The sequence below is a fragment of the Homo sapiens genome, unplaced genomic scaffold, assembly GCF_000001405.40.
Source record: "Homo sapiens unplaced genomic scaffold, GRCh38.p14 Primary Assembly HSCHRUN_RANDOM_CTG10".
NCBI lineage: Eukaryota > Metazoa > Chordata > Mammalia > Primates > Hominidae > Homo > Homo sapiens.
This window is the reverse complement of record NT_167213.1, coordinates 54,733-67,451: the sequence shown is the minus strand read 5'-3', so window position 1 is coordinate 67,451 and position 12,719 is coordinate 54,733. Positions and strand designations below refer to the sequence as shown.

Here is a 12,719-nt window from a genome sequence, read left to right as displayed (position 1 = left end):
TTGAAAACTGGCACAAGACAGGGATGCCCTCTCTCACCACTCCTATTCAACATAGTATTGGAAGTTCTGGCCAGGGAAATTAGGCAGGAGAAGGAAATAAAGTGTATTCAATTAGGAAAAGAGGAAGTTAAATTGTCCCTGTTTGCAGATGACATGATTGTATATCTAGAATACCCCATTGTCTCAGCCAAAATCTCCTTAAGCTGATAAGCAACTTCAGCAAAGTCTCAGGATACAAAGTGAATGTACAAAAATCACAACCATTCTTATACACAAATTATAGACAAACAGAGAGCCAAATAATGAGTGAACTCCCATTCACAATTGCTTCAAAGAGAATAGAATACCTAGGAATCCAACTTAAAAGAGACGTGAAGGACTTCTTCAAGGAGAACTACAAACAACTGCTCAATGAAATAAAAGAGGAACCAAACAAATGGAAGAACATTCCATGCTCATGGGTAGGAAGAATCAATATCATGAAAATGCCCATACTGCCCAATGTAATTTATTGATTCAATGCCATCCCCATCAAGCTACCAATGACTTTCCTCACAGAATTGGAAAAACTACTTTAAGGTTCATATGGAACCAAAAAAGAGCCCGCATAGGCAAGTCAATACTAAGCCAAAAGAACAAAGCTGGAGGCATCACGCTACCTCACTTCAAACTATACTACAAGGCTACAGTAACCAAAACAGCATGGTTCTGGTACCAAAACAGAGATATAGACCAATGGAACAGAACAGAGCCCTCAGAAATAATGCCGCATATCTACAACTATCTGATCTTTGACAAACCTGAGAAAAACAAGCAATGGGAAAAGGATTCCCTATTTAATAAATGGTGCTGGGAAAACTGGCTAGCCATATGTAGAAAGTTGAAGCTGGATCCCTTCCTTACACCTTATACAAAAATTAATTCAAGACGGATTAAAGACTTAAATGTTTCACCTAATACCATAAAAAACCTAGAAGAAAACCTAGGCATTACCATTCAGGACATAGGCATGGGAAACGACTTCATGTCTAAAACACCAAAAGCAATGGCAACAAAAGCCAAAATTGACAAATGGGATCTAATTAAACTAAAGAGCTTCTGCACAGCAAAAGAAACTACCATCAGAGTGAACAGGCAACCTACAAAATGGGAGAAAATTTTCACAACCTACTCATCTGACAAAGGGCTAATATCCAGAATCTACAATGAACTCAAACAAATTTACAAGAAAAAACAAACAACCCCATCAAAAAGTGGGCAAAGGATATGAACAGACACTTCTCAAAAGAAAACATTTATGAAGCCAAAAAACACATGAGAAAATGCTCATCATCACCGGCCATCAGAGAAATGCAAATGAAAACCACAATGAGATACCATCTCACACCAGTTAGAATGGTGATCATTAAAAAGTCAGGAAACAACAGGTGCTGGAGAGGATGTGGAGAAATAGGAACATTTTACACTCTTGGTGGGACTGAAAACTAGTTCAACCATTGTGGAAGTCTGTGTGGTGATTCCTCAGGGATCTAGAACTAGAAATACCATCTGACCGAGCCATCCCATTACTGGGTATATACCCAAAGGATTATAAATCATGCTGCGATAAAGACACAAGCACATGTATGTTTATTGCAGCGCTATTTACAATAGTGAAGACTTGGAACCAACCCAAATATCCAAGAATGATAGACTGGATTAAGAAAATGTGGCACATATACATCGTGGAATACTATGCAGCCATAAAAAATGAAGAGTTCATGTCCTTTGTAGGGACATGGATGAAGCTGGAAACCATCATTCTCAGCAAACTATCACAAGGATAAAAAACCAAACACCGCATGTTCTCCCTCAGAGGTGGGAATTGAACAATGAGAACACTTGGACACAGGAAGGGGAACATCACACACTGGGGACTGTTGTCGGGTGGGGGGACGTGAGAGGGATAGCATTAGGAGATATACCTAATGCTAAATGACGAGTTAATGGGTGCAGCACACCAACATTGCACATGTATACATATGTAACAAACCTGCACGTTGTGCACATGTACCCTCAAACTTAAAGTATAATAAAAAAAAGTCAAGAAACAACAGATGCTGGCAAAGCTGTGGAGAAATAAACACTTTTACACTGTTGGCAGGAATATGAATTAGTTCCATCATTGTGGAAGACAGTTTGGCGATTCTGCAGGGATCTAGAACCAGAACTACCATTTGACCCAGAAATCCCATTACTGGGTATGTATCCAAAGGACTATAAATCATTCTATTATAAAGATATATGCATGCGTATGTTTATAGCAGCACTATTCATAATAGCAAAAACATGGACTCAATCCAAATGCCCGTCAATGATAGACTGGATAAAGAAAATGTGGTACATACACACCATGGAATACTATGCAGCAATAAAAAGGAATGAGATCATGTCTTTTACAGGGACATGAATGAATCTGGAAGCCATGCAAACTAATACAGGAACAGAAGACCAAATACCGTATATTCTCACTCATAAGTGGGAGCTGAATAATGAGAACACCTGGACACAGGGAGGGGAACAACACACACTGGGGCCTGTCGTTGGGGACAGGGAGGGAGAGCATCAGGATAAATAGCTAAAGCGTGTGGGGCTTAATACCTAGGCGATGGGTTGATAAGTACAGCAAATCATCATAGTGCACGTTTACCCATGTAACAAACCTGCATGTCCTGCACATGTATCCTGGAACTTAAAATAAAATTTAAAAAAATAAAATAAAAGGAAAACAGAAGAGTACTGAAAATTGGCTCACACTTCCACAGCCTGTACAGCAAGCATGATGCTGACATCTGCTCAGCTTCTGGGGAGGCCTCAGGAAACTTAACAATCATGGTGGAAGGTAAAGCAAGAGCAGGAGGAAAAGAGAGAGGGGGAAGGTCCTACACACTTTAGCAACAAGATCTCATGAGAACTCCATCACAAGAGCAGCGCTAGGGGGATGATGCTTAACCATTAGAAACTGCTTACATGGACAAACCACCTCCCAGCAGGCCCCATCTCCTACAGTGGGAACCACTGGAAGCTGCTCCCATGGACCAGCCACCTTCCAGCAGGCCCCGTCTCCAACACTGGGAACGACTGGAAACTGCTCCCATGGACCAGCCACCTCCCAGCAGGACCCATTTCCAACACTGGGGATTACATTTCTATATAAGTTTCCAATAATTTTGGAATACATACTAATAATATATTTATAAAAATATGGTCCAAAGTAGACAAAACACCATTCACTCTTCTATTTGAAAGTTTTCCTTCTATTCTATTGTCACAATCTCCAGCGTTATTAATCAGAATCCTGCATTTAAGGGCATCTGTTAAATTTTATAGCTGATTATAAAACCATCATTTAAAGAGGACCAAAATGAGACAACTGTCTGTGGATGACAAAATCATTAAAGGCAGCCACAGTTGAAGACACGAACAACAACCTTTAAAGTAGAATTTGCTGTAGAGCCTATTATGAGGGGGACATTTCTAGTTATTACCTCTTTTATTCTAAACCATGGAAAAAGGACCTATCAAATAAAGTCCTTCTAGAAGAGTGAAGGGCTCCTGGCAATGTTCTCTTTAATCCATGATGTGGGATAAGGGGAGTTTTGACTGATTATGAGGCAATGTAGATGCCACTAAAGTTTCAACACCCTAAAAGGAAAAAAAAAGGAGGGAGGGAAGTCCTGGAAGAACCAGATGGAGCCGTAGCAGAAGACGATTTCAATCCACTGACCCCTGAATTGTGGGCTGGTTGTGCTGCATCGCTCTGCGACTTATGGTTCTGCCACAACAAAGATCTAATTCCCAGGGTTATAGGAAAAGACACCTGCGGTACCCCTGAGGCACAGAGAAGGGATAAATCCAAACCTGACTTAAGTCTAGGGTTCTTAAACCACACAATCTGCTCACAAGGAGGACCTTAACTCTGAAGATACTGATTTGGGGCTGTTTCAAATAAAAAAATTATAAGTATGAGTGGGAAAGAGAACAACCTTCCCCATATCCAGTGGCAAAAAAATGAGGGAGAGGGAAGGAAGGAAGGACGGAAGGAGGGAAGGAAGGAGAGAGGGAAGGAAGGAAGTAGGGAGGGAGGTAGGGATGGAAGGAAGGAAGGAGAGATGGAAGGGAGGAATGAAGGAAGGAGGGAAGGAGGGCAGGAAGGAATGAAGGAAAGGAGGAAGTAAGGAAAGGGAAGGAGGGAGGGAGGGAAGGAAGGAAGGTGAGAGGGAAGGAAGGAGAGAGGGAAGGAAAGAGAGAGGGAAGGAAGGAGAGGGAAGGAAGGAAAGAGGGAAGGAAGGAAGGAGAGAAGGAAGGAGGGAAGGAAGGAAGGAAGAAAGGAAGGGAAGGAACATGGATATGCACAAAAACAAAATTTAAATTAAAACGGAAGTCTATCATCTGACCTAACTGGAAATGTACTATCTTCTAAAACAATTTATACAGTCCAAAGATAAAAGGGTGCTGACTGGTATTTGTAACTCTCCAGCATATATTCTGAATCAATTTTAACATCTGCTGAAATCTACCAATTGGTATACCTTCACAAACTTAATCAATACTGGAGCTCAAACTTTGTTATACCTGAGATTTCACTAAATTTAAACTTTGCATCCCCTAATCCTAGCAGAGTAACTGCATATAGAATAGAGGACACATAGATATGCCTCATATTTGTTCCCTTGAGTAAATTTCCTGTAGTCATAGAAGAGTTTGTCCATAGGGGACATGGATGCTCTGACCTAATGAGTAACAAATTGAAATTAAACCATTTGCACTTACACATTGACTTCACAAATGTAACCTTACAGAACTCCCTCTCCTGTTTTTTTTTAAATTTGATTTATTTTTAATTTTTCATTTTTTTAGAGATGGGTTCTTGCTCCATTACCCAGGCTGTATGAAGTGCGGTGGCACAATCATAGCTCACTGCTGCCTCGAACTCCTGGGCTTAAGCAATCCTCCCATTTTAGCCTTCCAAGTAGCTGGGATTACAGGCATGCACCAACACAGCCAATTAAAAAAAAAATTATAGAAGTGCAGTCTTGCTACGTTGCCTAGGCTGGTCTCTAACTTCTGGCCCCAAGCAATCCTCCTGTCTCGGCCTCCCAAAGTGCTGGGATTACAGGTGTGAGCCATGGTGCCTAGCCTCCCCATCTTGATAAATTAGCAAATATGGTCCAACAGAAATTACACATGATTTCAAATAAATAAAACTTATTATATAAGACCTAATTAATTAGTGAAGGGGTGATTATCCTCATTGCTTCAACATTTAGCAGTAGAATTTGGCCTGTTCTTAAACCTGCAAAGAATAAATGGTGTTTCACAGTGGATTGCTGTAATGTGACTGCAGTGCTCCCATCCATTAGGGCCCTCGTACCCAATGCCAAATATTATTGTGGTTAATTTATTTTTTATTTCAATAGGTTTTTGAGGAATATGATGTTTTTTTTTATTTCAATAGGTTTTGGGGGAACAGGTGGTGTTTGGTTACATGAATAAGTTCTTTAGTGGCGATTTCTGAGATTTGTGGTGCACCCATCACCCGAGCAGAGTACACTATACCCAATATGTAGTGTTTTATCCCTCACCGCACCCACCTCACCACTCCCAGCCTTTCCCTGAGTCCCCGAAGACCATTGTATCATTCTTATGCCTTTGCATCCTTATAGCTTAGCTCCCATTTATGAATGAGAACATACAAGGTTTGGTTTTCCATTCCAAAGTTACTTCACTTAGAATAATGGTGTCCAGTTTCATCCAGGTTGCTGTGAATGCATTACTTCATTCCATCTTATGGCTGAGTAGTATTCCATGGTAAATATTTATAACACACTTTCTTTATCCACTTACTGATTGATGGGCATTTAGGCTGGTTTCAAATTCTTGCAATTGCATATTGTGCTGCTATAAACATGCGTGTGCAAGTATCTTTTTCATATAATGACTTATTTTCCTCTGAGTAGATACCCAGGAGTGGAATTACTGGATCAAATGATAGATCTGCTTTTAGTTCTTTGGAAATCTCCTCACTCTTTTCCATAGCTGTTGTACTAGCTTGCATTCCCTCCAAAAAGTGTAAAAGTGTTCCCTTTTTACCACAACCATGCCAACATCTATTAGTTTTTGATTTTTTGATTATGACCATTCTTGCAGGAGTGAAGGGGTTATCATATTGTATTGTGGTTTTGATTTGCATTTCCCTGATAATTAGTTATGTTGAGCATTTTTTCATGTGTTTGTTGGCCAGTTGTATATCTTCTTTTGAGAATTGTCTGTTCATGTCCTTAGCCCACTTTTTGATGGGATTTTTTTTTCTTGATGGTTTATTTGAGTTCCTTGCAGATTCTGGCTATTAGTCCTTTAATCAGAAGTACAGTTTGCAAAGATTTTCTCCCACTCTTTAGGTTGTCTGTTTACTCTGCTGATTATTTCTTTTGCTGTGCAGAAACCTTTTAGTTTAATTAAGTCTCATCTATTTATCTTTGTTTTAGTTGCATTTGCTTTTTGGGTTATTGGTCATGAAGTCTTTGCCTAAGCCAATGTCTAGAAGGGTTTTTCCAATGGCGTCTTCTAGAATTTTTATAGTTTCAGGTATTAGATTTAAGTCCTTGATCCATCTTGAGTTGATTTTTAAAAGGGTGAGAAATGAACATCCACTTTCATTATTCTATGTGCGGCTTGCCATTTATCCCAGCACCATTTGTTGAATAGGGTATTCTTTCTCTGCTTTATGTTTTTGTTTGCTTTGTTGAAGATTAGATGACTGTAAGTATTTGGCTTTATTTCTGGGTTCTCTATTATGTCCCATTGGTCTATATGGCTATTTTTATACCAGTACCATGCTGTTTTGGGGACTATGGCCTTCTAATATAGTTTGAAGTCGGCTTCTAGATTTGTTCTTTTTGCTTAGTCTTGTTTTGGCTATACAGATTCTTTTTTGGTTCTAGGCTTTTATTACCTTAAGGTATGTCCCTTCTATGTCTTTTTTAGTTCCATGTGAATTTTTGTAGTTCTGTGAAGACTGATGTTAGTACTTTAATGGGGATTGCATTGAGTTTGTAGATAGCTTTTGGCAGTATGGTATTTTCACAATATTGATTTTACCCATCCGTGAGCATGGGATATGTTTCCATTTGTTTGTATCTATGATTTCTCTCAGCAGTGTTTTGTAGTTTTCCTTGTAGAGGTCTTTTGTCTCTTTGGTTAAGTATTCCGGATATAATTAAGATTTTGTCTGCAAAGATTGCATGCAATTGACAATTATAGGAATATACTATTATAATTATAGGAATCATAATATTCCTCAGGTTTTTATTGCAGCTATTGTAAAAGGTGGTGAGTTTTTTATTTGATTCTCAGCTTGTTCACTGTTACAGTATAGCAGAGCCACTGACTTGTGTACCTTAATTTTGTATCCTGAAACTTTGCTGAATTCATTTACCAGTTCTGGTAGCTTTTGGGATGAGTCTTTAGGGCTTTCTAGGTTTACGATCATGTCATCAGCAAAGAGTGACAGTTCAACTTCCTCTTTACCGATTTGGATGCCCTTTATTTCTCTTATCTGATTACTCTGGCGAGGACTTCTAGTACTGTGTTGAATAGAAGTGGTGAAAGTGGGCATCATTGTCTTGTTCCAATTCTCAGGGGGAATGCTTTCAACTTTTCCCCATTCAGTGTAATGTTGGCTGTGTTTGTCATATATAGCTTTTATTACCTTAAGGTTTGTCCCTTCGATGTTGATTTTGCTGAGGGTTTTAATCATAAAGGGATGCTGGATTTTGTCAAATCCTTTTTCTGCATGTATTGAGATGATCACATGATTTTTGTTTTTAATTCTGTTTATATGGCCTATCACATTTATTGACTTGCAGATGTTTAACCGTCCTGCATCCCTGGTTTCTCTTCAGATCGTATACATCTTTCACCTTATGATGGTTAATTTTATTTGCCAAGTTGGGTTGCCTAGATATTTGGTTAAACACTCTGGATGTGTCTGTGAGGGTGTTCCTTGATGAGATGAACATTTGAATATGTAGAATTAGTAAAGTAGTTGCCCTTCCCAGTGTGAGCGGGCCTCATCCAATCCATTAAATCCCAAATAAAACACAAGGGTAGAGGAAGAGAGAATTCACTCTCTTTGATGCTTTCAGAGCTGAGACATAGATCTTCTCTCGCCTTTGAAGTCAGACGTGGACTGTAACTTATGCCATCAGCTTTCCTGGTTCTCAGGACTTTAGGCTTGGACTGGAACTCCACCATTGGCAGTCCTGGGTCTCCAGCTTGCTGACTGCAGGTCATGGGACTTGTGAGCCTCCATAACTACATGAGCCAATTCCTTATAATAAACCTATATATATTCATGCAACTGGAAATATTTTGTTGTTATATATTTAGCTAACATGATCTTTTTGGGCCTATTTTAACAGAGTCGCAGTCATAGCCTGCCTTCATCTCTGAAGGGACCAGGTAACACACGGAGTGCCTTGGCAGCCTCGTCATTGCATGCAATCTTCACAGACAATATCTCACTGCAGCCACCTTTCTACAGGAGTACAGGTGTGACATTATACTGATGACATCATTCTCAGAGAAAATTCATTTTACACACTGAAGATACACAGACACAAAGAGCCTTATACAAAGGGAATGGACCTTTCCCCAACACAGTAGTGCAAGGCCCTGCCACTTTGCTTCAATTCCTGAAAATTCCTTGGTAAACTTGGGGCTGCTCTATTCCTGACAGTTTCAAGAAATAGTTATTCATCCTCTCAGCATCCACAACGTTAATACAAGCCCAACATTCTTTAATTTGTGTTTTGTTTTTTGGAGACATAGTCTTGCTCTGTCACACAGGCTGGTATGAAGTGGCATGATCTCAGCTCACTGCAGCCTTGACCTCCCAACCTCAAGCAATTCTCCCATTTCAGCTTTCCAAGTAGCTAGGACTACAGGTGTGTGCCATGACACTCAGCTAATTTTGTTTATTTTTTTGTAGAGAAAAGCTCTCGCTATGTTACCCGGGCTGGTCTCGAACTCCTGGGCTCAAGAGATCCTCTGGCCTCGGCCTCCCAAAGTTCTGGGATTACAGGTGTGAGTCCATGTGCCCAGCCCTTTAATTCTTTACTTGGGGTTCAGGTGACTACACATTTCTTACTTACAAATTTTACTTAATCTCGCTGATGCTGTCACTTGAAAGCTGACCCACCTTGAATGAAGCCTCCTCCAACAAGTCTGGAATCCATCCGAATTTAAATTAACAGGCGCTCCTATGAATTCCATCAGAGAACACACTGTAGATGCTTTAGCAACCTCTTCCCATGCCTCCGAAGTATCTGGTTTGCATGTGGTGGCCATTAGTCATCCATGGGCTTCTGATGTAAAAAACAAACCTGCCTCTTTTGACCCTGTGCTGTACAGCATCAGGGCAGTGATTGCTGGCCACATACTGGACCCTTGAAACAGAGGGCTCTGCATCCATGTCCATGAGCCTTCATGCCCATCTGGCCATCAGGCCTTGGGAAGCAGCACCCCACAGCTTTGGCACAGCTGCAGTGACCTCCTTGCCTCCGAATGGAGTCAAATCTTTACACGATGCAATTCTCATCTGCAGGAAGCACTGGCCTCCTTCATCCTTAGGCTACAGTGCTGACACTGGCCTCCTTCATCCTCAGACTGTGGTGCCAGATGTCACCCCTCTGCGAGGCCCTTGGGATCGACTGAGTGACCAGCAGTGAAGTTTGTCAGCCTTCTGAATGGATGCCATGATCAGATGTGATGGAGCTCAGTGGGATTCTGCTGCTTTCCCTCCCTTAGCTAGGATGTCCCTGATAAAGGATGACACACAAGCCTCAGCACAACTGGCCAAACTTGAGGTGGTCATCATAGCACTGATGCTGGGCCAACAATTAACCCCACTTGTACCTTTTTACAAACTTTTTGACAATTGCCAAGAATTGTCCAGCTTCCCTCCCCATTGAATTAAATACACTTCTTGTCTCATGGATACTCAGAATACCAATCAAGGTAACAGATGCCTTTATTTTAACTAAGGACACGGTACAGATCTCACAGGGACACTCCTTATCCCTTGCAGAGTTCCAGACACTACTGATGGTCACCAAAGCAACATTTCATCAGAAAACACAGTGCTGGGCTTGTGAAGAAGGTGTCCAGCAGAGCTTCCACTGCTCCTGTAGGCTGCAGGAAGCTGCTTCAGTTGAGAGATACACTGAGCTCCTCAAAGAATTCCTATTTAAGGTACAAAGCAGCGAGTGGATGCCCTGCTGGATTCCACTATTGCCACAGGCTTTGATAACTCTAAGTTCATGCTCCTTAGGAAAGTGCACTTTTTACACCAATGCTAGACAGTTCCCTCAGTTGCCTTTACTGGACATCAAGGAGTTCACATTTTTGACAATCTTTCAGTCCTGAACTGTCCAAGGGGTGGAGGTAGCTCCATACAGGAAGCTGCCTGCTGCGTGTGGATCAGTAATATCAGACTTGCCCAACAGCTCACTGGAGACATGAAAACCCATGCATGGGGGATGCATGACGTCACCCAAATATTTACCACACGCTTGTGCTGCCAGAGACCCCAGATCACTTTTCCTGCCTCCTGCTAAACAAATGGGAGCAGTAGCTTCTCATCAGCCTCCACATTTCATTACTCATAATTGTGGCCTTCCTAATGTCTCATGCCCCTAAGCATTTATTACAATGTCTCAACAGCCTTCTCTCAGCCTCTCAAAATATTAGTCATCATTAAAATAAATGTCTGATGTTAAAGCATCAGGGTCAATTGTACTGTGACACCTAAAATTTCATGCTGCATCCCACCAGGTCCTCAGCCTAATGGCTTTCATGCCCCCAACAGACTGCTAAACTCTTTGAATTAGTCAAGCACATCCCTCAAGGGACAAGGGGTTACCCCACCCTCTGATTTCTACCAAGCCTGCCTCCCGCACCCTGTGCTCCAGAGTGAACCCCCGGGTAGACCTGCACAGATGCAGTGTCATCCCCTGTTGGGCTGAGTATGCGCGATGAATAAGTTACGGTGAATTTCGTCTACTCAGTGTTTGTTGTGTCTGCAGCCATCCCTAGAATTCTAGGGCAAGACTAATTTCTTCACCAATGACGTGAACAGGAAGGAACCCAACTAGGAATTGCCTTTTTTAAAAAATCCCTTCCCACCCTCTTAATTATGTAGTGCATGCATTTTATAGCTTTTTTGCTCATTCCATTATCTGAGGTCAGGCACTGATATTTAACCCATCTTTAGCCTCGGAGGAGGGCAGAGGAACAGGGGTCATATTTATTTCCCTAGTGGCAAAGACATGATTTCCTCCTGTGCCACTCAAATTCACTCCTTCTTTAACTTGATGCTCAGTAGGTTGTGTTTCACTTGTCTTTGCAGATTGTTAGGAAGACGAGACTCAGCTTTCATTTTTGATGTTGTCATAGAGAAGACTCTATGGTAATGCTTATTTTCACAGTCAACTTTCTCTTCTTTTCCCCCAGACAGAAATTGCAAACTCAGGTGAGTGACAGCTTTCTGGAGTCTGCAAACATAGATTATTTTCCCTCTTTTGATGGCAAATTTCTTATATCCCCACGAAAAATAAAATACTTACATATAATTTTGGCATGTCATATTGGTTGCCAACTACACGTAAAAACATTCCTTGATTTTAAATCTACATTAATTATAGAAACTTGGGTAGTCACAAAAAATTATAGTGTAAAAATTTATAGACCTCTTCTTAGGACTAAATGAGTTACTGTTAACTAATATTTATTGTGCAATTAGTGCATGGCAGAAGCTTCCTATGTACTATTTTATTTTATATGTAAAACAATATTCTATGCACAATGTTATAATCTCCCCGTGCCTCCAATTTGGACGTGATAAAACAGCGTCGTAAAGTTTTCACCCCAGAGTTCTCTGCTTAGTAAGAAGTAGAAGGAAGTCTAAACCTAAGTCATCTGATTTCAGAGCCCATATAATTAAATGCTCTAAATGCAGATTCCCAGGGTGGTGGTTTCTATGAGAGCCTGTCACATACGATGTAGGACACTGCTTCTCTGTAACGTGTGCAAGATTCCCTTGATGATGGTGACTATGAGAGCCTGTCACATACGATGTAGGACAGTGCTTCCCTGTAACAGGCGCAAGATTCCTGTGATGATGGTGACTATGAGAGCCTGTTACATATGACGTAGGACAGCACTTCTCTGTAACATGCACAAGATTCCCGTGATGATGGTGACTATGAGAGCCTGTCACATGTGATGTAGGACAGTGCTTCCTCTGTAACATGCACAAGATTCACCCGGGGATCTTATTAAAATGCAAACTCACAGACCACACTTTGACTAACTAAGATAAGAGCATTTAAATTGATGTCCTGGTGACAGTGCTAAGATGCTACTGTTCATGTGGGCACTGGCTCACCATATTAACAAAACTTAGGACTTCCAGTCCCTGCTGGAAAAGAAATACAGACACATAGGATGTGACTGTGCATATGGAAAGTCTGTTGTGTTCTGGACATTGTACTAGACACTAGAGATAAAAAGTCAAATATCCCTTGCCTCTATCTGAAAGGAGCTTCCTACTCAGTGGATTCTGACTGCAGTATATATTTTCTCTTCTGACCTGGGAGAGTGAGCTCTACCTCAATGTT

The 12,719-nt window shown here is 41.0% G+C and overlaps 1 pseudogene across 1 annotated transcript in view; it reads left to right on the top strand.

Moving 5' to 3' along the window:
• LOC283788 (FSHD region gene 1 pseudogene) overlaps positions 1-11,103 on the top strand; it is a 43,294-nt pseudogene extending 32,191 nt beyond the window's left edge. The window contains exon 7 of the transcript NR_027436.2: positions 8,463-11,103. The product of NR_027436.2 is annotated as an FSHD region gene 1 pseudogene (transcript). The remainder of the gene's footprint in view (positions 1-8,462) is intronic.
• Positions 11,104-12,719: the final 1,616 nt, after the last annotated feature.